General features: G+C 36.0%; 1 long non-coding RNA gene across 1 annotated transcript in view; it reads left to right on the top strand.

The window, feature by feature from the left end:
• Positions 1-15299: 15299 nt before the first annotated feature.
• The window catches only part of LINC01362 (long intergenic non-protein coding RNA 1362), a 263633-nt gene continuing 252252 nt past the window's right edge, over positions 15300-26680 (top strand). Inside the window, exons 1-2 of the long non-coding RNA NR_147074.1 lie at positions 15300-15940; positions 19585-19699. This is a non-coding gene — a long non-coding RNA (long intergenic non-protein coding RNA 1362). The remainder of the gene's footprint in view (positions 15941-19584; positions 19700-26680) is intronic.

A 26680-nucleotide genomic window follows, 5' to 3' on the forward strand; every position in this document is an offset into this window, starting at 1 on the left:
TAAGGTTTAAGTAACTTGGACAAATCTCTATCTCTAGGAAGTTACAGAATCAAGATCCAAAGCATAAGTATACCTGTTGATAAGACCATACAGGCCTTTGGAGCCTACTGAGAAGAGAGTAAGTTACCCAAGTAAGTTAGCTCCTTTTTTTTTTTTTTTTTTGAGACCGAATCTCGCTCTGTCACCCAGGCTGGAGTTCAGTGGCACCATCTCTGCTCACTGCAAGCTCCGCCTCCCGGGTTCACACCATTCTCCTGCCTCAGCCTCCCGAGTAGCTGGGACCACAGGCGCCTGCCACCATGCCCGGCTAATTTTTTGTATCTTTAGTAGAGACGGGGTTTCACCGTGTTAGCCAGGATGGACTCGATGTCCTGACCTCGTGATCTGCCCGCCTCGGCCTCCCAAAGTGCTGGGATTACAGGCGTGAGCCACCGCGCCCGGCCAAGTTAGCGCCCTTTTATGAGCCAGGCAAAAGCAGAGCTGTTGAATACTTAGGTCTATTCATTGTTGATCGTGCTGGCTTTGCGCACAGTGCAGAGCCAGATGCCTGAGGGTCATGAGCTTGGCAAAAAATAAGGTCCGGTCATATCCTTTGTCCTTCATGCTTTGCCTTTGAGGTTCTCCATTAGACACTTAGGCCGAGGTCCCAGAAGCCATGGAGCCATTTGCATCAGAGGGCTATGTTTAAGACCCATTTGCTTACTCACTTCATTGGTTTCCTTTTTTATCCACTGGATGTAATAAATCTCTTATGTTTTTACCCTTGTTTTATTACCTAGTATATTTTAAAATTTGTATTGGTATTCATTTTTCTAAGTCTCTTGGTGTTGAAACCCAGCTCTGACATTTATTAGCTATGTAATCTTGGGAAAATCACACATAGACACATGCACACACAAACATGCATGTACTTTTCACACTTTGTATATCTCATCCGTTAAATGGCTATAATCTGTCTCTCTCCTAGAGCTGTGAGATTCAAATGATCAAATGAATACAAGGTACTACATAGATTAAGTGGTGAAGAAATCTCCTAGCTATTATTTCTGAATTTTCTAAATTCCTGATTTTTATCTAACTTTGATGGAAGGTAGATTAAGATGAATATCATAATGCATATCCATATACTAATTTGTATACATTTTCAAGGAAGAAAGATGCTCTCTTGATCATAGGGGTTTTCTGGCAACTTATTTCAAGACTGTGCTGTGATATGGGATAGGAAAGAACACATTCCTTTCAGCAATGTCTTCACTTGAAGGGTTCCCAGTGCTTTCAGGGAAAGAATGTTCACCAAGTTTATTCAGCGCATAACCTGAGCTTGAATGACTTGTCTTATTATATTGATTCTTTACAAAAAGAACCTCTGATTTGGCCAGTGTGCCACCATCCACTAGTGGGCAGACAATTCAGCTAAGATGCTTCAGTGATAGTTATTCAGCATATACATAAATGGTTGCTTTTGACTGTTATAGCAATCCTTTGTTCAATCAGGTGCTCCCAAGGCACTAGGATATGTTTAATAATCATAAGGTTTTCCCTTATGTATACATTTTTAAATGTGTATTTTTAAAATATATATTTTTCAAAAGCACACACACACTTGGGTCACTTTCCTCATTAGTGAGTTGTGTAACTGGCAGGATCTTTGAGACTTACAGTTATTTAAGAAGGAAGGGAAATGGAGCCTTGGAGGATGGGTAGCATTTTGGTAGATGGATATGAAAGGGAAGACATTCAGACAAGTTCTGGGGGCATGCTCACAGCCAACACCAGATGTCAATACATGCAAATGTACCCAAACTCATTTTATCTGCTATGTTGTCATCTTTACTCAAGAAGTACTACTAAAAAGAAAAATTGAAAAAATATATTGTTACAGCAGAAAAAGTATCTCCAACATGTCATATGAAGGTAATTTCTTAAGGTCACTATAATATTTAGTAAACTATTGATGATAGGCTTGAAAACATCAATACAACATCTTATTTCTACTTAATATATCCAAAAAAGAATAATATATTTACTGGGACAACAAGTTGTTCTGACACACAAACACAAAAATTCAGTCTTAACTGCCTCAACTGCAGGATCATTTTGGAGCTCACCTCCATCAGGAAACCACTGAACTCCTGGGTAAGTCTCTCAGGAGTTCCTGACCATTAGGATATTCTTGAGCAATGGGAGAGAAATGGGCCTGGAGTGGCCAGCAGCCTGTGGAAACGTTTACAAAAGCATTCAGCAGTCCCTAATGGCCTGAAAGCAAATGGATATTTTGCTGCAACAATGAAAAGAAACATTTCAATTTGGATGTGTTTGCTTCTGAAACAAATGTTTACAACAGAAACCTCCATTTGGGTTGTTAGCACACAGTCAAACAAAGTATGTATTTACTGAAGAATCAAGTGCAGCTTCTCATTGTAAGAATTGCCTCTTTGGGGACAGGCTATATGGTCAGGATAATGTGCTGATCACAAAAAGGAAATGAAGCTACAAGATTTTAAGGTAACAGGCAATATGCGTTAACCCCTACCTGCCCTGCAAAAGTGACTTTCCTAGGAAGTTTGTATTAGGTAGGATAGAAATACACCTGCAGTAAACAAAGACACCTGGAATATGGTGTCTTAAATAAGGTAGAAGGTAACTTTCATCTCTTGTACCAATTCAGGTGTTTGCAGTGCAGGCCATGTGTCAGGGACTAGGCTCCCTTGAGGTTTGGCTCTAGCATCCTCAGCATTTGGTTTTCCAAGTGTGGTCCACACTGGATGCTCTGGCTGTAGCTAGCATTCCTGCCTTCAAGCTTATGGAAAAGGGAGGAGAGTAGAGCGCTGCCTTGCTGCTTCCCTTTAAAGCAGTGGTTCTCAACCGAGGGCAACTTAGCTCCTCCCCAGGAGAAATATTTGTTTGCTATAACTTGGGGAGCAGGGTGGTGATAGTCCTATTGACATCTAGCAGATAGAGGCCATGGACAGTGCTAAACATCCTGTTGTAAACAGGGCAGTCCCACATGATGTAGAATGTTCTGGCCCAGTATTGCTAAACTTGAGAAATGCTAGACCAAAGTGAAAGCTTCTTATTGGTAGATATTTGTGGGTGTAGAAGCTGGAAAAGATGGTTTCCACTACAATCTTGCTGCATTCTCAGTGAGTTGCCTGGCATAAATGAACGTCATCTTTGGCAGAGACTGCCACTGGTCTCATGTCTGTTCTCTTCTTCTTACATGCTAATAGACGTTTAACCTGAGCCAGCTAGTTTTCCAGCTTCTCCCCAAGTGTGACAACCAAAAATGTCTCCAAACATTGCCAAATATATCCTGGGGACATTCCTAGTAAGAAACATTTCTCAGTTGGATGTCCTCTGGCAAGTCAACTAAACCTTTGAAATTTTAGTTTCCTCAAAGGTAAAAATAACAGATATTTGTCTCTCAAGATTACTGAGGTAGGCAGAATTCTAAGATGTCTGATATGGTTAGGCTTTGTGTCCCCACATAAATCTCATCTTGAACTGTAATCCTTATAATCCTCACACACCGAGGGAGAGACCTCCTGGGAGGTGATTGGATCATGGAGCAGTGTTCTCCATGCTGTTTTCATGATAGTGCATGAGTTCTCATGAGATCTGATGGTTTTATAAGTGTCTGACAGTTCCTGCTTCACACACTCACTCTCTCTCACCTACTGCCATGTGAGAGGTGCCTCTTCTCCTTCTGCCATGATTATAAGTTTCCTGAGGCCTCCCCAGCAATGCAGAACTGTGAGTCAATTAAACCTCTTTTCTTTATAAATTACCCAGTCTTGGATATGTCTTTATAGCAGTGTGAAAATGATCTAATACAATATCCCTCAAGAGTCCCACCTGCCTGGCATACACAAACCTTCTCTCAGTTATTCAATCAAGCACTAATCTGTGTGCTGCTATAAGGGATTTTTGCAGATATAATTAAGGTCCTAAACTATTTGACTAAGAAAAGGAAATTATCCTTCATGGGCCAAATCTAAACATGTGAGCCTGTAAAAAGGATGGGGCATTTTCCTAGTAAAGGAGGAATTCAGGCTGGGCTCAGTGTTCACACCTGTAATCCCAGCATGTAGGGAGGTCCAGAAGTTTGAGACCAGCCTGGGCAAAATGGCAAAACCCTGTCTCTAGAAAAAAATACAAAAATTAGCTGAGAGTGGTGGCACATGCCTGTAGTCTCAGCTACTCAGAAAGCTGAGGTGGTGAATGGAATGAGCCAAGGAGGTCAAGGCTACAGTGAGCCATGATTGTGCCTCTGTGCTCCAGACTATTATTATTTTTAAATAGGGAAATTCAATGCAAAGGAGGGTCTTCATTGCTGGCTTTGAAAAGGGAGGAGGTCATGTGGGACCTGAGTAATTCCAGACTGACAGCCAGAAAGAAAATGAAGACATCAGTCCTGCAGCCACAAAGGATTAAATTCTGCCACAACTATATGGGCTGGGAAGATCCTGAGTGCCAGATGAGGACAGAGCCCATCTGACACCTATGTTCTAGTCTTATAAAACTCTGAGCAGAGAACCTAGCCACTGCATGCCTGGACTTCTGACCTACAGAACTGTAGGTGTTATTTTAGGCTGCTAAGTTTATATGGTGATTTGTTACACAATAACAAAAACTAACACAGTCATTATGAAGATTAATTATGGTAATAATGCTTATTCTTTCAAGAATGCTACTATGTTCCAAACAACTAGATAGGCATTTTAAGAGAAGCATTTATTTTTTTAATAACCATTGTAAAATCAGACATTATTTTCCCATCTTGTAGATAGAGTAACTGAGGCCTGGAAAAGTTACATAATTTGCTTAATGTCTCACAGCTAATGACAATTAACTAGAATTTAAACTTCGATTTCCGTGTCCTTTCTTCCTTGCCTAACTTTATTAAATATAAAGTGTTAGAAAAAGTTAAAAAATCTTAATTTTATTAATTTTTCTATTTATATGCCATAACAGATTTATAGGCTAGTGAACTTTCTGAGGGACAGTAGACCATAAACATCAAAACCTGAGCAAATACACATATGCTGAGGTTTAGTTATGGACTTCATGATGAGGACTAATTACAAGACAAGTCCTACCTTCCAGCTTAATGACACTTATCCATACTTATTTTTTTGATTGACATCATTTTTCTTTTATGTTGCATGCAGCTATTAGGGGTTTTTTTTGAAGCCCAACTATTCTCCATCTTTACTTTTCAAATAATAATTGAAAGAAGATTTTTAGGTTTGATAAATATTAAGGAAAGGAGTGACAGAAAACACCTATCTAAATGTTTATCTAAAATAATAGTAATTTTGGTAATGGTCATTTGCTGAGAGTTTATGATAGGTCAGGCACATGCTAAATGCAGGGTGTCAGGCAACCCTCACAGAACTCTTATAATGTGCCGGTATTATTAACCTAATTTTCCAGATGAGGAAACTGCTTCAAATAAGTTTAGTACCTTACCCAAGCAAACTTGCAAGTGGGCAGCAGAACCAAAACTGAATCCATGATCTGTTAGTCTCTGTATATCTTACCCTCCTGTATATATTGTTCTTAAGCATGAAATCTCACCAGGATTCTTCAAATCTGTCCTTGGAATAAATGGACTACCAAAGTGTGTCTCCAAGAGAATCTGGAAACTCAAAACCTGGTACCTGAAATTTATCAAATACAGAATCTGTTTTTAGGTACCAACTAGATATCAGCTTCTTTGTATGCATATAGTTCTTTACATGCACATCATTCTTCAACAAGACTCATCTGGAGTGCTGCTTCTGGTGGATCCTGTGCCATGGCCATGAGGGAGCCTTATGGCTGGTGTGTATCTGATGGTGACGACTTTTGTTGCTTTACCCATGTTCTTTCATCCAAATCCTTAAAGGCTAAAGCACTTCAATACAGCTGGTGAGGATTAGGGTATATTGTAGAGCAGAAGGCTAAAAGCAGATTTCTCCATGCCATCTGTAATGGCTGTGCAGCTGCAGTGCCCACACACATCTGGAGAGCTGCTGTAAAATAAGAGCCTAACATTTGGCAAAGGTAACAGATGGCCTTGTTATCAAATGTGAATAGAAGCAGAGTCAAGCTTCTGGGGAATGGCAAGTTTAAGACTAGGAAGGACAGTCACAACAACAACAAAGCATATAGAAAGGAAGAAGAGCACCGGACAGATAACAACGTATTACGAAATGAGAAAAATCTATGGAGAAGATGGTGAGATAGCAGGATGAAAGTTACTGAAAATTTTAAATAAGGAGAGACAGATTCAAACATGTCTTCATTCTCCCAGTAATTAGAAACTGTCAGAATTGTGCTTAGTTAAATCTGGTTAATTTGCTAGACTTGGCAGTGGAATTGGTGTTAAAGTTTGCCACAGTCAACATTTGGTGTGGTATATCCTGGGGGCATTTCATCATTACTAATTGAGTAAATGACATTAACAGAAGAGATGGACAGGTCTGTCTTCTGCTCATTTCACGGAGTCCTGCTGCCTTTTAAGGATCCTACCAACCTCAGGTTTTCTTTGATTAAAAAGAAAAAAATGGTGCTGGAAGTAGCTTTCAGAACTGGGTCAATAAGATGGTGGAAACAGATACAGATCTCTTTTTTAAAAGCATGTCTACCCTGTGGTCAATTCCCCTCCAGTGCTCTGTAACAGATTCTTCCAAAGCCTTTGATTCTTCCAACAAGTTTTCAACAAAAATCCCTGATAATAGAATCTGCTCCTATAGAAGAGGCAGATTTCAGAGCTGAGGGAGAGAGGCCATTTCATGACAGAATCAACGTAGAAGGAAAGTAGAGGGGCCGCACCACAGTGTGGAACTTGGTTTTGCTCTAAGTAATTGGCATAGAGCTCTTATTCTGGGCCTTGGAGCTCTTTTTAGTCCTAAAGTAGGAAGCTCACAGGCGTTCTTTTTTTCAGGTTGAGTTGACATTGAGGAAACAATCTGCTCTAGTTGGAGCCAAACCAGACAACCTGCCCATTCTGTTAATTGGATTTTAGGATCTGTATTGAGGTGGCCTGGGCTGGAAGTTTATTCACCTCTGCTCAGATGCCAAATACATTGGCCTAGAAGCACACAGAACTTAATAAAATAAATTAGCAAAATGGCTATGTCATGGCCATTTCCAAAATGTATATCTTGTGGTTGCTCTCAGTTGGGGACTCTTTTATTTTTAACTGATCAATTAAACTTGTCTAGCTACATGAATTGTTCTAATTACTGAGTTTTCCCAGAATTAAATACTGTAAGTTAAATCAACTAACATTTAACAAACGGGAGCTACTTCTTCTGCTTGTCTCCTTAAGAGCCCTCCATAGAATTAACAGTTAGGTGCTAATTGCAAATGATTAAGTGCTCACCAGTCTTGGAGTTCTTTCTTTAATATTAATGAGATGGATTAACATGGAACATGTCTTCTATTAATATTATAAATGGAAGCCTGCATGGATCACTGAGTGCTGTTTTGTATTATAAGGAGCACTTAGTTTAAAGGAGTAAAAAAAGTACACTCCTAAAATGTATCTTCCTTTCAATTGAGAAGTACAATTACTGAGGAAAATGTTTAAATATCATTAACTTAGAGCAACCATGTAGCATTTTAGCAATAATCACAGTAGCAAACTTTTATATAAAACTTCTTTCATCAGTCTCCGTGAGCAGGCACTGTACATTAAACCAGAATAGAGCTTAAATTATTCCGTAAAACACACACAGAAACACCCACCATTCCATACTACTCAAATAAATTACTTGGCAGTTCAGAATTATTTTCATATATCTGAATTTCCTTTTAAGACCACTATTTGCCTCTTAAAAATGCTAACTAATTTCTCTTGGCTACTTGAAAACAGCAAATTGACTGCATTTTCTTTCTTTCTTTAAGAACAAATATAGTTAAAATCACCTCTCTCTTGCTTTTCCTAAGAAGATGCGATAAAAAAGTAAAGCTTATATTTCATACATTACTGGTTTAGAATCTACCACAATGGCGAGAGCAGTATAGTCTCTAAGCTACAGGAAGGGCATCACTATGTTTTAATTCTATAAGTCTTATTATTTAAAAATATTGTTCTTTTTGATAAATACTTTTTGAGTATGCCACACTATACCATAAAAGACACTGAAATGCAAAACAGTTATTTTAGATCATAGTAAATTACCATTTTTGCTCTTTAGCCTGTTGCAAACATTTGTAAATGAGAGAACAAAAGCTTTATGCATTCAGACCAAATCTGGCCCTGTGTTAATGCAGCATGCATCACACTTTGATTAAGGACTTAACCTCTGAGTCAAACTTCTGGTTTTGTCCTTACTCTTTGAACTTAAAACTATGTACACATTTAACATTTGCTCTAGATAAACATGCTTTCACCAGACAATACCAAGTGTTGACCACTTATATGCTCACAGTAATAGAAGTGATGCTTGTATTCAAGATTGCATATGTTAAAAATGATAAAAAGGAATATAAGATTTCTAAGATCATGGAAAAAATGGAAATATATAGCTAGGATCTTGCATTCAACCTTACAAATATTTTGTTTAATCCAGAATGTGCATGATGTATAGGTCAATTATGTTTCTGAATAAATTAATCAGATGTCATTATGATTTTTATAATCATCTCAAACATAATCTAAGTAGTCATAATTTATAGGTAACTATGAAATATTCTCTAGAAACAATAATTTCATTTGAAATATCTGGTCTTCTGATACATTTATAATTATTCTTATAAGTAGCATATATCTCATAAGTAACATCTGCAAAACAAATTCATGAAAATTGTGGCAGGTCAAGTTCTAAGATAGCTCCAAATAGCTACCTCTTGATGTACACACCCTCTATAACTTTCTCCCCTTGAATGTGAGTAGGACCAATACTATTTTCATGATTAGGTTATTTATCAGTTGATTTTGAGTGAATCAAGAAGATTAACTTGGATGGGTTTGGCCTGTACAGGTAAGCCCTTTAAAGTTAGGTGAAGTGTCCTAGAGATTCTCTCCTGCTGACGCAGAAGAAAGCAGATGGCCATACTGTGAGAGGAGGTGGCAAGAACCTGAGGAGAGTGGTCCTTTGCACACAGCTGGCAAGGAATAGGGGCCTCAGAAATGAAGTCCACTGACAACCTGTGAGTTTGGAAGAGGACCAGATGAGATCACGATCTTTGAATTTGAACGATGAGACCCTCAACAGAGGACCTAGCCTGGGCTATAGAAACTATAAAATAAAAAAATTATGTTGTTTTGTGCCACTACAGTTTATAATAATTTACTTGCAGCAATAGAAAACTAATACCAACAAGAATCTGGTTTGATCCATGAGGAATAAATTTAACTGAAAACATTCACTCTTCTCATTTAATGAAATCTGGCTGCAAACTTACAATAGCCCACAAAACATGATATCATTCATGGCAAATGAAAAAAATCATGTAGCCCCAAGTAATACTGCTAATTAAAAAGGAAAACAAGAGTTTCATAATTTTGCTTCCTTCTGTTCTTCGGATAGATGCCATTATCGTTGACAATGACACTACCAATCATTCTCAGATGACTTTGCAAGAAATTGGCTAGGCATGTCTCACAATTGTCTTCACTCTCACAGGTTTCAGACTCATAAGGGATGCTAAAAGTCATTTCCCCAGATTGTAAAAATGGTGCATTGTCCCATATGCCATTGGGAAAATGTTGAATTGATTGCCTTCTGTGGGAACTCAGGCTCTTCTGACAATGGGTTCTGTTCCCAAAGCCCTTTGAAAAGGATCATAATTAATTGTGGAAATGTTTGTCTTACTCTCTCCACAAACTCACCATTCCCTGAGTATCAGCCCCTGAGTGTTAACAGTAGACAGCACTGAATGTGTTTCAGACAATGATTCTGAATGCCAGTGATATTGCTCCCTGTTTCCCTTGGTATAGAAGGCTCTGCTTGGCAAGATTTTGAATCACATGGATACCTGCCTTTAACAACTGTGGGGAATCCAGACCTGAGAATCGTTTTATGTAGTATAAAATTGGCTAGGGTCTGTAGCCTGATAAGCCAGAATTTGGAGGGAATGGCTAACTAGTGTCTGCCATTTCCTTTTTTTCTTCTCTGTAGGAAAATTTAAAATTTCCAAATTCAGGTTAGAATGAAAGTATGGCAAAAGCAAAAGAGTTATCCAATATAGACTCTTTGCTATGCACCCTAATAATGCAATCTCTATTAAAGATTATGATTAAAACACAGCCACAACAGATACACTGTGAGCATGTGTGCATGTGCGCAGGCACACACACACACACAACGTTCAATTTCAAGTGCACATAGGCTCCTATTTAAGAATTCTTATGATTGGTATTATTTCTTCTCTTCTAAACTGTCATATTATCCTACAGAGAGAAGAGCTACAGCAGAGGCTGTAAAAGAAACTGTCCTCACTCTATCTCCATAGTAAACCGCCCTTATATTATTTTTTAAAATCCCCATGATAATATGCTTTTGTAGCTATGGCCTAGTTACAATGCTGGGGCAGCATTAAGTCATTAGTGAAGCTGGCTTTTGCTTTCTTTGCTGAGAAGACAAATAATGGTCATGATCAGAGATTCTTTAACACTATAAGTGTTTATCATACTTTTAATTACTGATGCTATAGTTATGTCATTGATTTGTAGGCACCATGAATAATCTTAATACAATTAATTGTGAAACTTAACACAGTTAGGCCCACTTTGTTCGTCAACTTTCCCTATCTTAAACCCACAGATACAAAGGCGTATTTCCCCACATATGCCAAAATCCGAAAGACCAAGGTAGTATATTAAGTTCTGTGTTGTTCTTGAAAGATCTCTAGAGTAACAGATCTGAGTTTGAGGGTTAGATCCAACTCTTCTTGGCAGCTTGACCTCTCTAAACTCCAGTGGTCTTGTCTTTTTGTTGTTGTTGTTGTTGTTGTTAAAGAGCACAATCAAAAGAATCCTTGTAGAGCATTGATGATCTCATGAAGTTGTGATAATCAAATGAAATAATGAATGCTGTGTATGCCAATTACCTGTTTCTTTCTAATTCATTCTGCATCCTTTACTTGCTCCTCTGTATTGCAGGAAACTGCAGATTCCATGTTTTCTTGCTTTCTGACATCTACATTTCAGCCACTTGGAAGCAGCTTTAGAAAATTCAGACAAGAGTTAAGAAAAGGCTTCGTATTTTTCCTCCTTTCTCTCTCTTGAGGGAGTACGTCTTGCTGTGGCTCCTCCACGGCTCCAGCTTCCACCCATCAGCCATTTCCTGTATGGCCTTGTTGCTGGGCAGGGCAGTCTCCAGTGGATTTAAATTCCTGCTAGATGGTTCCTTTTCTGGGTTCTGGTATTACCAGTTCCTCCTGTTGTCTCTCTAGCTCTAGGGGTAGTAGTTCCCAACTTTTGCTCATCTCTAAGTTGTTTTAGCATTTCATATATGGCTTCATTTCCCATTAGGTAAATACTCAATACCCTATATTAAATCCTTTCTTTGTAGAAGACCAAGAGTAGTTCCTATTTCTTGACTGGACCCTGACTGACACTGACAGGAAAGTACTTTACAGATTATGATAACTCTTAATATGTAAATCATTAGTATTATAGTCATTCTAATGATTAAATTATATATTCTGAAAGTGACATATTTATGGCATTTTGGTATTCTTCCACTATTACCTCCCTTTATGGATATGGATTATCAAGAATCATAAAATATCCATGAAATTATATATAGAGGCATGAACTATTATATTATGTTTCTGTCTTATATGTATGTCTGTTAATGAAAAATATAGAATTAGAATTGGAATACTTTGAAATGTGTTTGGGTATCTTCATTCCAATTTATTTTAGTGTAGAATACTGGGAATAGTGGAAATTTCCTTTAAACAACCTTGCCTATTACATCTGCTGATTTTTGTTGAAGAATGCAATAGTCTTCAGCAAGAGATCAGTGAAAATGAACAAAGCAAGCATTGGAATGAAATACTGCAGTGGTTTATTTTGTCAAATAACAAATTTACTGCAAAGTTTCATGCCTTTTCTATGTATTATATATAATCTTTTTACCTGTCAACTTGTAGAATTCAGAAGTTAGAGTCTCGTAATAGGCACACATATTAACAGATTTATTTGGATTGAAAGATGAAGTCAGATTGTTATGCTGAAGTTAAAGCTGACTTGGCTGATTGAATTGAAAATGGATATCAGCTCTAATTCATATCAATTGGGTCACACAGTGAGCATTATCCAAAAATTGAATGAACTAATTCTGTAGCTCCAAGCTTTTTGATGAAATTGTAAAGCATGTGACATCATAAAATCATTTTTAAAGTGTTTTGTTGTTGTTGTTTAACTTTGTATTTATCAGGTCAAACAAGGTGACTGTAAGTGGAAGAGGAACAGGTGTAATGAATGACTTTTTGATAAATGTTAATAAACTTTTTCCTGAAGCAGAGAAAGTAGAAGACTCTAATGACTGAATAGCAAGCATTTATTGAATCATTCATCGCATTCAACAAAATTGAACAAAGATCTAATTGGGTTGTCAGAAGATTGATTATTACAAAGAATAATAGATCACAATGTAATTTTTGACATGTACCTCAGAAAATGTTGAAAAAGTGAAAGGTGTTGCCAAAACTAAACTCCTATCCACATCTACTTATTTATAGGAACAATTTTTCTAAAAACATACATTTTTTAAAGAAAACAAACAACAGATAGGAATACAATTATCAAAGATTCCACTAACATTTATCAATAAGTTGTATTCTTTTATAATACATATACTAATTGAAAATGACAATCCTATTTCACTAAAAATTATTTTTAATAAAATTTACTTTTTATATATAATAACCAAAATATTATTTGGTTATATAATATTAATAACTGTTAGAGTCCAGGAAAATTAATAAAAGAATAATTTCAATTTATATTCATATTTTTGTGACAGAAAAGACATGCATAAAATATATTCCTTTTTATATAATTTTGTATGGTAATCAAAATGGAAATACAAATTCAAGGAGTTAAGGAAATAATACACAATTTCTGACTCAGAGAAAAGCTTGCTTATGTACTCTTTAAAATGGATTTTTTTGCAATCAGATTACTGGTATTTAGATTCTTTTTAATACATTTTACAAAATAATCTAGCTATTTTATTTAATAAATGCTATTTCTTATAATATAGCAGAAATTGTATTCTATGCAACCAATGAAATGTGATGAAAAGTCTTTTAGCCATTATGTAAGCAAAATTTTTTAAGACCTACCAACACTATGCTCTCTCTTCTCTGATCTATAATTATACTTATTCTGTTTACATGCATCTATCTGAGCACATGAATGCATCCCATCTTGCATTAATTAATTGCTTCCCTTTCCTGAGTTTTATCTCCATCTGGATCAGCTATAGTGTCCAGCTCTATGCTGAACTCGTAGCATAATAATGCACTTCAATATATTTTAATATGTTGAGTCATCTAAAAAACAAATAATAAACTCATATATAGAAATATCTTCTGACTTCTCTTTATCCTTCATACCTTTTGAGAATGCCTTATTCTTGGCCATTTTCCCCTTATTTTTGCTGCTGAGTTGAATTTCCATAGCCCTCATATCCCTTTTTACAATCTCTTAATCCCTCCTCATTCAAAGCATTCGAATTTAGCTTTACTATTGGGTGACTACCAAGTGAATCATTTGGATTGTGAAAAATAACCCTAGATCAATTTCTTTTATTTCCTCACTACACTGTTTCAGGCCTGTTTTACTTCTTTCTTTATGAGGGTATTACTCTGGCACACATCCCGATTGATGGAGGATCTCCAGAAAAGAGTGTTAAATTAAAAATATCAGTTACTGGCTTACCTCTTAATGAAGCAGCTGGCTTAAGAAGCTTTAGATTTAAATTATCTGCCCCGGCACTATTATTCAGTCTTAAGTGAGGCAGTGCACCAACTTTCTTATAAGTAATTGGCTGAAACTAAAAGTCTGAGGCGCCTACATTAACAGACCGATTAGACACATTATGGGGACTGGAGGGGGCAGTTCTTTTAGGTGAAGTCAAGTTCAGTACTCTGAATAGTACTACAATTGAAGCGAGTGTTAAATTAATTTACAGTGGAGCTCATATTAGCAATAAGAGAATCAGTGGCCAAACTGATTTGATGGATGGTCTCATTATGATACACCATAGATCAAAAAGATTTCTATTATGTGACAAAATCTCTATGGTTCCCATTTATTTTCATTAGTTGTACTAGTACCACTAACATTTATTTTTTAAATAGGTATTTCTTATTTTGTATACATAAATTATTGTAGGTCTATATAGTGTCAGTTGATTTTTTTGTGACTCAGGGAAATGATATAGTTTGAATGTTTGTCCCCTCAAAACTCATATTGAGGCCGGGTGCGGTGACTCATGCTTGTAATCCCAGCACTCTGAGAGGCCAAGGTGGGCGGATTACCTGAGGTCAGGAGTTTGAGACCAGCCTGACCAACATGGAGAAACCCCATCTCTACTAAAAATACAAAATTACCTGGGCATGGTGGCACATGCCTGTAATCCCAGCTACTGGGGAGGTTGAGGCAGAGATTCACTTGAACCAGGAAAGCAGAGATACTGTGAGCCGAGATCGCTCCATTGCACTCCAGCCTGGGCAACAAGAGCGAAACTCCATCTCAAAACAACAATAACAACAACAACAAGAAGAAAAAACAACAACAAAAAACCCTCACATTGAAATTTAATTGCTATTGTAACAGTATTAAAAGGTGGAACCTTTCAGAGGTGATTAAGACATGAGAGTTCTGCCCTCATAAGTGGAATAATGACATGTTCATGGGAGTGGATTTGTCATGGAGGGAGAAGGTGCCTTATAAAAAGATAAGTTTGGCTGTTTTGGTCTCTCTCACTCTCTTGTCCTTCTGCCTTCTGCCATAGGATGATGCAGGATGATTGCCCTCATCGGATGTGGACCTCTTGATCTTAGACTTCCCAGCCTCTAAAATTGTAAGAAATAAATCTCTGTTCCTTATAAATCACCCAGTCTCAGGTATTCTGTTATAGCAGAAGAAAACAGACTAAGACAGGAACACAGAATCTATCATTGGGGTTACTAGTCTTGGCCCTCTTTCACTTTCAAGTAACTGAAATAATGCTTTTTATCAGCCAGCTATTGTGTGTCTTGTAAGGTTGACTCAACGTTTATGAAATCACAGGGCCAGAGAATGCTAGAATGTTAGAATTCTCAAAGACCTTAGAGATCGTCTACTCAACCACTCTTGCTTTGCATTTGAGAATTTAAGTCACTTGACCAAAGTCAGACAACAGTGATTATATTACTACAGTGATTCTGGAGTGTTCTCAACAAATAATAACCTCAGAAACAAGTAGGCACTTGGAGACATTGGGCTGTGGATTCAGGTTGCCTAGGTTTGAATCCTAGTCCCAACATTTACTAAGGCTCTCTGATAGTGGGCACATTATTTAACTTCCTCAGACCTGTTTCCCCATCTACAAAATTGGATTACCTATGCTCCAAGGTTTGTGATCTAGAATTCAACTAATAAATTCAGGCAAATTATTCCAATTATATTAAGCACTAGTACTCAAAGCTGACATTTGAGGCTCAAATGGAGTGTCTTCTTAGCTTTTGTCTCCTGTCATTTCAGCCCTAAGCCGAAATCCAAAAATAATGGGAAAATTCTATGCCCTGATATAACACAGAATTATAAAGGAAGCTACAATATCCCATACTCCTTGCTTCATACTCTAGAATCCATTTAAATGAGGTTTAAAATTGTTCCGGTTGAGTCATTCCTTCCAGTCAAGGCATATTCTATCTGAAGGACTCAAATTAATTAGCTACAGTTAACAGATTATTAAGTCAACTGGCTTCTACGGAGATGGTGGTGAGTGTATCAAAAGTTCGGATTTGGCATACCATAGTAAATGGTCTAATTAGCCACATCGTTTATAAACTGGGAACAGAGAGAAGAGTGGATTTTCAGAAGGAAATGGAGTTGCCCACTTAATTTTGCCTAGAGATAGCCTTCATAGCCTTCATACATGCACAACTTCCTCATATACTATTTTTTTTCTTCTTTTTTTGTTTCTCCCTATTGCAATGTACAGCAGAAGACAGGGAAGGATTTTGTTAAATAGAAGTTAGTTTTTGGCTGGGTGCAGTGGCTCATGTTTGTGATCCCAGTGCTTTGAAATGCTGAGGCAGAAGGATTGCTTGAGGTCAGGAGTTGGAGACCAGCCTGGGTAACATAAAGCTACCCCATCTCTACAAAAAATAAAAATTAGAAAATTATCCAGGCTTGTTGGCACATGCCTGTAGTCCTAGCTACCGGAGAGGAGGATCTCATGAACCCAGGAATTTGAGGTTAGAGTGAGCTCTGGGCATGCCGCTGCACTATAGCTTGGGTGACACAGCAAGACCCTGTATCTTAAAAAATGTTTTTTTAAAGAGAACTTAGTTTACAACACTTCTGAGAATTAAATAAAATGAGAAACAGACAAAAATGCAAAGAATAGGAATACCAAAGAAGCAGCCCCGGCATAGGGATGAGCAGTCAGGACAAATGAGAAAGTCACAGACTTGCTAACATGAGAATGCAGGTCCATAAGATGAGAGATGTATCTGTTACCTTCAAAAAGAAGGACATGTGAAATATGGCAGTGCTGTGAAAAAAAGAGTTAGAGGGCTGTTCAAGTTAAAAAACAAGGACAAATGAAGCTGAAACCACAGTGTCCTTTTTTCCCTGTTTTGTTATGCATCATATCAGGTCATTAGGGGTTTAGGCCTTTCCTTAAGGCATCCTTATCATCAACGCCTTTACTTACCTCAGTCAGCTTGATGCCCCTGCTGTTATGGATATTAATGATGTTGTGAACTTATTTAGTGTAAGTGTGGCTTAATGTGCATTATTACATTATCCATCAGTTGTACGTCACCCTTAGCAACTGGCATAAAGTTATCTCTAGTCCTCTGCTAACTTTATATCTATCTTTGTTGGGTCAGCTTTGCCGGTTTCTCTGCTTCATACTTTCTGAGCTATAACTCATGACAGTGTTATAAGAGTCACCACTTTATAACTGTGACCATAAGCACTGATTGCAGTAGAGCAATGACCCTTGGGTGGATGGGGTCTAAAAAAGGTCTTCGGCATCTTTTTTTTTTTTTTTTTTGGCTTAAAAAGCATTCTCTTGGTAATATGCTCTAGTGTAATGAGCACAGATCTATTCTGCGTGAAATTTCTGTATTTAGATAAATCTATGCATGGTTGCTAATTTTTTTTTTTTTTTGAGACAGAGTCTCGCTCTGTTGCCCAGGCTGGAGTGCAGTGGCATGATCATAGCTCACTGCAACCTCCACCTCCCAGGTTCAAGTGATTCTCCAGCCTCAGCCTCCCTAGTAGCTGGGACTACAGGCACACGTCACCATGCCCAGCTAATTTTTGTATTTTTAGTACAGACGGGGTTTCACCATGTTGGACAGAATGGTATCAATCTCTTGACCTCGTGATCTGCCAGAACTCGGCCTCCCAAAGTGCTGGGATTACAGGTGTGAGCCATGCCCAGCCAGATGCTAATTTTTTTATTTGGATGTCTTTCTCCCTTTTGGGTTTGAAAACTGACCTAGGGTAATGTATCTGAAAGAGAATGGAAGGCTATATTGCCTTTCCTGAATGAGCTTTAAAATATACACTAATAAAATAGCTTGCAGTCATAACTAACACACAGAAATTTTTGTAGTCTGATTAAATTGAGAAAATGTTACTCCTTTGATCTAAGGTTAAAATCTGTGTTTGATTGGTAAAGTTCACAGCAATGAGTATATTTTAGAGTTAGTCAGAAATCACTTTTTAAAAATTATTATTCATTTGCTTGTTTGACTAGATTTGAAGCAGAATGGGTAGCTAGGAATGAAGCCATTAAATCCGTATGAGAGCAAATCATCTCAATTTCACATTTCACTATTTAACCTCTCTGGGTCTCTTCCCTCATCTGTAAAATGAGAAGGTTAGACAGCTGATCTTTAAGGTCCTGCTTGGACCAATATACAAATGACTGTACTTTCTTCCTTTTCTCCTTCTCATAGATTTTCATTGAGTGAAATGTTCTATACTCTATCACATAATAGAAGTCTGGTTTTAAAATAAAACAATGTGAGTCACGAATAATAATCATAATAATTAAAATAGTAGTTATTATAAGATTGAAAATAATACATGCTTATAAAATTTTTATAATTAACTCAGCTTTGATAATGATTCCAATGACTAACTGTATCTATTTTCAGAACTGCACTTTTTTTTAAATCAAATGCTGTCAGCAGAATCATATTTTTTCTTAATGACACTGAACAATGATTGAATTAGATTCTTCTAATGGGCAGGATAAACTCTGGTTAAATGGAAGGATGCTCTGCTAAAAACCCCTAACATATTGTGTGGAATAGTTGATCCTCAGTGGCAATTAGACATCTTTGTACATTATCTATTAGCCCATTAGTATACTTTATAAGCACACAGCAGGAAGTTTTGTAATTAAATTGAGTAGTGTCTCACCCATTTTTGGTTTAACTATCCTGTTCACCAGTATGCCTCCAACATATATTTTGGTATACTAGGTCATACGAAAACTGTTCTTAAAGAATGTGTTCCCTGCCTCCCATCTTCTTGCTTTGACCCCTACAGTAAAGCCTGAAGATACATTTCAGTTGCTTTACGAATACTGTTTTGCATGTTTCTGCATAGATTTGCATGTTAAATTAAAGGAGTTTTAATTCCAAGGTTTGTGATGTAGAATTTAATTAATAAATTCAGGCAAATTATTCCAATTATATTAAACACCAGTACTCAAAGCTGACATTTGAGGCTCAATTTGAGTGTCTTCTTAGCTTTTGTCTCCTGTTATTTCAGCCCTAAGCTAAAATCCAAAAATAATGGGAGGAAAAAATTCTATGCCTTGATATAACACAGAATCATAAAACTCTTTATGCAGAGAATTCCAGGCATAATCATCCCAAGCCTTTTCAATGATCTGTATGGCCCTACGTGATCTACCCTTAAACTTTATCTTGTTTTTCTTTGCTATGGATTGAATTGTGTTCTCCTGAAATTTGTATGTTGAAGCCTTAATCCTAATGTGACTATATTTGAAAACAGGAATTTTTCAAAAGTAATTAAGGATAAATGAGGTCACAAGAGTGAGGTCCTAATCTGATAGGATTATTGGCCATATAAAAAGAATTAGAGAGAGAGAGAGATCTGTGCTTGATTATTAAGGTTCACAGCAAAGAGTGTATTTTAGACTCAGTCATATGATGCAGAAATCACTTTTTAAAAATTATTATTCATTTGCTTGTTATAATAGTAGTTATAATAATATACTATTTAATTATTATCATTATTACTAGTGACTCAAATTGTTCTATTTCAAACCCAGATTTCTATTATGTGATCGAGTACAGAACATTTCACCCAATGCAAATCTGTGAGATTCTTTCTCTCTCTCTTTCTCTCTGTCTGTACACACCCACCAGAGAGAGGCCATGTGGGTACACCATGAGAAGTCTGTCATCTACAGGAAAGGAAGAGAGCCCTCCCAGGAAACTGACTTTGCCAGACTTTGACCTGGAACGTCTATTCTCCAGAACTGTGAGAAAATACATTTCTATTGTTTAAGACAACCAGTCTATGACATTTTGTTATGACAATGGTGCAGATTAAGAATCTTATCTTCTACTATACCCGCTTGCTCACTCTAATCAGAAGCATTGGCCTCTTTCACATTCCTTAAGGATAGTATGTTTTAGGGGCTTTGCACTGTTTCTACTGCCTAGACTTCTTTTCCACCATGTATTCTACATGATCAATTTATTTGATCACCATCTTCAAATCTCTGATCATGTCACTTTCACAATGAGGTCTTATAAGAACACCCTGCTTATTACTATAACCTGCCACCTCTCCAGCCTGGGTCCTCCTGAACCCCTTTATACTGTCTCATGTTTAATATTTCTATTTCTTTTCTCTCTTTCTTTCTCCTCCCTCACTTTTTCCTTATTTTTAAAATTGACATATAATAATTGTACACATTTATGGGGTACAGTGTCATTTCAATATATGCATGCAAGGTGTAATGATCAATTTATGGTAATTAGCATATTCATGACCTCAAACATTTCATTTCTTTGTCTTGAGAACATTCAAAAACCTCTCTTCTAGATGTTTGTGAATAAAATAAATTAATATTAACTATGGTCACCCTACAGTGCTATAGAACACTAGAATTTATTCCTCCTGTCTAGCTGTAATAAGGTATCTCTTAACCATCATCTTTTCCTTATCCTCTCCCATCCCCTTCACAGCCTCTAGCAACCAATATCCTACTTTCCAATTCTGTGAGTGGAACTTCTTTAGCTCCCATACTACCCTTTTATTTCTATAGCAATCATCACCTTCTACCAGGCTATGTATTTATTCATGTCCGTTATTTATTATCTATTATTTTCTCTTTTGTTTACTGCTGTATTCCAGCTGTGTAGAATACTACCTGCATATAATATAGTAGGTGCCCAGTACACATTTGGTAATTAAATAAACAAGGTTTTGTTTTTGTTTTTGTTTTTGTTTTGATGAAGTCTTGCTCTATGTCCCAGGCTGGAGTGCAGTGGCACGATCTCAGCTCACTGTAACCTCCACCTTCCGGGTTCAAGCAATTCTCCTGCCTCAGCCTCCCGAGTAAGTGGGACTACAGGCGCCCGCCATAATGCCTGGCTAATTTTTGTATTTTTAGTAGAGATGGGGTTTCACCATGTTGGTCAGGCTGGTCTCAAACTCCTGACCTCAAATGATCCATCCGCCTTGGCCTCCCAAAGTGCTGCGATTACAGGCATGAGCCACTGTGCCAGACCAATAAACAAGTTTTTATAAATAAATATTTAAAGGTACTTCTTGGAAATGTTCTTCATATTTTTCATTGCACTTAGTCATAGCATTATGAATTTTTAACTTTTATTTATTCGTTCATACATACAGCAATATTTCTTTAGCACTATTAGGCACTGTGCTAGGAATTTGGAATAGGAGGTGAGACAAACAGGCATACTTCGTGTTCTCAAAATATTTAGAGCTATGAGAAGGATGATATTGTCCAATGCTTTTTAAAGACAAATTTTAGAAGAGGACTCTTTAATCAAATACATTTACATAAAATTTTAGATGAAACATAAATCAACACTGCTCAATTTGAAGACATGGAAGGAAGTAGAAACCTCACTATGATCAGAGCCTGGAAAATCATTAATAACTTCATTTTATAGCAGGAGTTTATGCAGGACATGGATGAGTTGAATGATTCTTGGTTTCTGTAAAGGCAAGTACAAACATACTTGGCTTCAGGGAAGCTGGGTTTTCTAACATGAGTTCTTCACTGTGATGTACTAAATTTGCACACTCAGACACTGACTTTTTGAACTATTTGAAGTTATCTAGAGACTCGGCGATTGTGGTTTTTATTTAATGCAATTTGTTGTTAAGATCTTTATATTGCAAATTTCATTTGTGGGAATCTGTCAACTAATGCTTGTGAACCTGCTATTTTCTGTAATAATCACAAATTAATTGCTTGAGAGTTTGTATTTTTAGGGTATTTGTGTTTTCTGTAATCTCCTGGATCCTGAATAAGGGGTTTGTACATCCACACATAACATTCTTACATTGTGGGAAAGTTACTGCTAGGTCTACAGAAGACAGGCAGCAATGACCCCAAACATCTTCCTGTGTCTGGTAGCAATGACTAAAATTACTCCATGACCTTTATAGCAATTTAATTCTAAAACTTATTAAGAATTTCTCAAAAGGTCTTTGCTGTCTTACCACATTTTACTATTAAAATTATAGCTTTCATGTGAGTTGAGAGATAACTTGTGTTCACATTTAATTTCTATCTATTTCTACCAAATTCTATAAAAAACAATTTATTCATTTTGATAATTTTATTGTTTAAAATTTTCTATTACGCAGTACTCTGTTATAAACTGATACAATAAAAATATGGAAAGAAAGCGTAAAAACAAGCTCAACAATCTCTGGTTTGGAAGAGATAATATTCATGGAGTCTGATATCACCTCTATCTACATCACCTCTGCCTATTAACTATCTAGTTCTGAGTACTGAGACAGTCCTGGTGTCCTCACCATTGCCAAAAACCCTTGTTTAATATTTAGGCTATCAAAATGGTCAGGAAGTTCTTCCATATATTACTCTAAAATTTACCTCACTGTAACTATCCAAAATTGATGAGTTGGAGAGCCTACTTCCTCTTCCACATATCAATCCTTTAAATATTTGAAGACCAATTTTCTTCACCCTTGAGCCTCTTCTCTAGGCAAAAAATTTCTCAGTTCTTTTGATTTTAAATTTTGTAAAACCCTACCCCCACCCCAGTTTTGGAATGTTCAGTATCCTAATCACGACCCTTTGAATTGGATGTGTTAGGGTTTGCTGGCCTCTCTTAAAATGTGATACCTAAAAGACTAGTTCTTTTCCTAATTTAGCTTTTTGCCTTCCTACTTCTGATTCATATTGGCCTTCTCTGAACTTTCCAACACCTGTTTTTCTTTCATATAATTTCCTCTATTTTATTGAGAAACTCCTTTTCTTCTCTGATGAGATAGTAACCTGTTTTAATTTAAGACATAGGTTTCCTGCCTAATCAACTTTCCAGTACCGGAGCTACTTCTCTTGGTATAACACCAAGCCAAGAAATGAAATATAGAACTTCTGATTCCCCTTGGCAGCTCCCTGTTTAGCTATTGGGTCAACAAGAGCTCACCATACAATGGCTAGATTTTGACAGCTCTCTTAAGTTCTACCTTCCCTGGACCCTTCACTGCCTTTCAAGAATCTAATAGGGATTTTTTTGGTACTTAATAATTGTGCATATTTATGGGGCTTTGTGATATTTTGCTACATGCATAGAATGCATAATGATTAAATCAGGGTAATTAGCTTATTCATAACCTCAAGCATTGATCATTTCTTTGTGTTGGAAACATTTCAGATCTTCTCTTCCAGCTATTTTGAAATATACACTAAATTATTGTTAAGTAGAGTCTTCCTACTGTGCTATTGAACATGAACTTATTCTTTCTATCTAACTGTATTTTCGTACCCATTAGCCAACTTCTCCTCATCCTTCCCCTACAATAGTTTTCTTCTTCCAAAGAGTTTAGGTAATTAAATGGCAATTGCCAGCAAATTATCAGTTTCATCCAGTTATTTAAAAAGTCTGTTCTCTCTAGGATGTCTGCCTTTTCACATACTGTTGGCTTTTCTGGAATGCATTTTTTGGGGGACTGTTCTCTTGGCCAACACCTTCTCCTGCAGATTTCAGTGTTCAAGTCTGTTGTCACATTGAACCCTCTTAAACTACAGGCCAATTTAACTATCTTTTTTTCTGTGCATAGATGTGTCATGGAACAATGTGAGAATTCTGTATTGTTATTTCTGGCATGGTTGTCTATAACTCGTACTAGATATTTAGCTTTTGGAAATGCTAAAACTTGTCTATTCAATTTAAAATAATCTGTACAATGGCAGACTACAGGCATTCAATGACTATCTGTTAAATTTATGTAGGAATAAAGTAATGAATAAATGACATCTTGTTTATTCTTTATGTGAAATATATCATATATATGACAGTATATGAAACATGCATACTACAGTATGAAGAATAATAGAAAAATGAATTTACATTTAGCCACCACATAGCTAAAGACACAGAATGTAACTAGTAACGTAGAACCCTTCAATCTAATCCCTCTCTTCCCAGCAAGTTTATTGTTTTTTTCTAAATATTATTTTAATCATCTTCTTGTGTGTGTGTTTTAAGTTTTAATACACATATATTAAACACTAAATAATATAGACTGTAGTTATGTCTGGATTGAAATGTATATAGAGTGATTATATTTGTATTCTTTTATTTTGGTTCAAAATTTTATCTTTAGATTTATCTATACTGATATTGTAACTGAAGTTTAATTTTATACTGGTATATAATATTCCATTTTATGATATTCCAAATATGTATATATCTATTTTACTCATAATGGACATTTTTATTATTTATAGATTTTTATTGTAATAAACGATGTTAGTATGAACTTAAAAAATCCCCATGCAAGACTTTCTCTAGGACACATAACAGTGTATTTGCTGACAAGAGAATATATAAATGTCCTACTTTAGTAGTTGATGCCAAACTGTTTCCAAATACTTATAGCAGTTATACACATCCCAAGAATAGATGAGAATTCCTGTTAAAACATATTCTAGCCAATATCAGCATTGTTCACCTTTTAATTTTTTCCTCAATCTTGTATGTGTAAAAAATATATAGATACAGTTTTAATTTAAATTTCCCTGATTACTAACCAGGTGGAACATTTTTTTCCATGTGATTAAAAAACTACAGTGTTTCTTCTTCCGTGAAATGCCTGTTCATTCTTTTGCCCAATTTTTTATTGGGTTGTTTGTCTTTTACTTAATGACTGGTGTTTTTTCATTCTCTGTACTCTATTTGTTTAATAAATACATTTCCTTAGCTTGTCTTTTAACATTTTTATAGTTTGCCATTAAGATTTAAGTCTTTAGTCCACCTAGAATTGATTTTTGTGTATATATGAGTTATGGATCTAATTTCATTTTTATGGGTAACCAATTATCTCAGGATAATTTATTAAAAATAAATTTTAAAATATTCTTTCTACTCTGATCGAAATGTCTGTATTGTCATAAATCAAACTTCCATATATGCATAGCTTTGTTCTGAGCTCTGTATTCTGTTCCACTTGAATATTTGCTTAGCACAGTATCAATACACTGTCTTAATAGCTTAGATTTATACAGAACCTTGATACCTATATTTCTTCTATCTTCATTCTATCAACCTTGTTCAGAACCTGTCTCAGAAATATCTAAATTATTCTTGGTGGTTTTCTTTTCCATGCAAATTTTAGATTTAGCCTGTCAAATTCTGTAGAAAATTTATGTTGTTGTTTTGAGGAAAATTTAAAAACGTTCATCTTTTTATGATACTAAGTCTTCCAATCCATAAACATTGGGTAAATTCCAATATAAACATATTCTTGAATTGTATTTTAATGCTTTCTTATATCAAAAAGTTGAAATTTGTTGGATTTATTCTTAGGCACTTTTACTGGTTGATGTTATTAAAACTGAATATTTCATATTGATAATTATAATATATTGTTGCTGTTGGATAAAATTTAATACATTTATATATTAACAGTCTATTGAGCAACCTTTTTACATTCCTATTAACTCTTTTTTTTTTTTTTTTTTGAAACAGGGTCTCACTCTGTTGCTAGGCTGGAGTGCGGTAGCACGATCTTGGCTCACTGCAACCTCCGCCTCCCAGGTTCCAGCAATTCTCCTCCCTCAGCCTCCCAAGCAGCTGAGACTACAGGCACCATGCCTGGCTAATTTTTGTATTTTTAGTAGAGACAGGGTTTCACCATGTTGGCCAGAATTGTCTCAATCTCTTGACCTCATGATCTGCCCGCCTTGGCCTCCCAAAGTGCTCGAAATACAGGGTGATTCTAATAATACATAGTTTCTTCTAGAATTTCTCTGTTAACTATTATATTATCTATGAATGCTTTAGTTCTTTATAATATGTATACATATTTTTTATTTTTTAATATCTTACTATTAATATCTTAACATCAATATATTATTGTTTTTTGATGTCTAAAAATCCTCAGCTGATTTTCAAATTTACTTAGTCATTCTGCAGTCTTATTGCTTGCTCCTGTTTTCAAGCTTGGCTTTATTTTATTTCTTATTCACTTATACACTAAGTCTGTATTTCTTCTTGGCTTTATTTTATTTCTTATTCACTTATACACTAAGTCTGTATTTCTTCGCCAATCCCACCTTTATCATGGGATTTCCTATCAGATGCTTCACCCTACATTTTACTTCCTGTTCGTCCCTGCATTCCATGTAAGAATCAACACAGAATTTTGCAGAAACCAGAGCCAAACAAGTGGCCTCCCAAATGGCCTGTTCTTATATTGCTTTTGTCTTATTTGAATGTTTCTTTGCGTGCCAGATATGTAACGAAGTATATGTATGTGTGTATATATACGTATATATACACAGATACTTATTATATATGTAGATATAGACATAGAAAATATCCAGATGTATTATATATACTATCTCCCTCTTTGTCTATGCATATGAATACATATACACATATGTATGTTATATGTAATTAATATATATTGTTTATTATATATAGATGAATAGATTATATATACACAGATATACATACTTGTATATAATTTTAATCTGCAATTATGATTATTTTAGTCAGAAGCATTCAGAATATCTGCCACACTATCACATACAGCAGTCTAACTTACATTTATGAAACGAACATGTTCATATATTATAATCTAAAAGGTTAATAGTTACCAGCTAGATAACATTGACTAGTAGGCCATGAAATAAGAAGAAAGTTAGTTTAACTGCCATTAGCACTGTCTATCATTTTAAAGCCAGACAGGACAAACTCTGAAATTTGACCTTCTCAAATA

The sequence above is a fragment of the Homo sapiens genome, chromosome 1, assembly GCF_000001405.40.
Source record: "Homo sapiens chromosome 1, GRCh38.p14 Primary Assembly".
Lineage (NCBI taxonomy): Eukaryota > Metazoa > Chordata > Mammalia > Primates > Hominidae > Homo > Homo sapiens.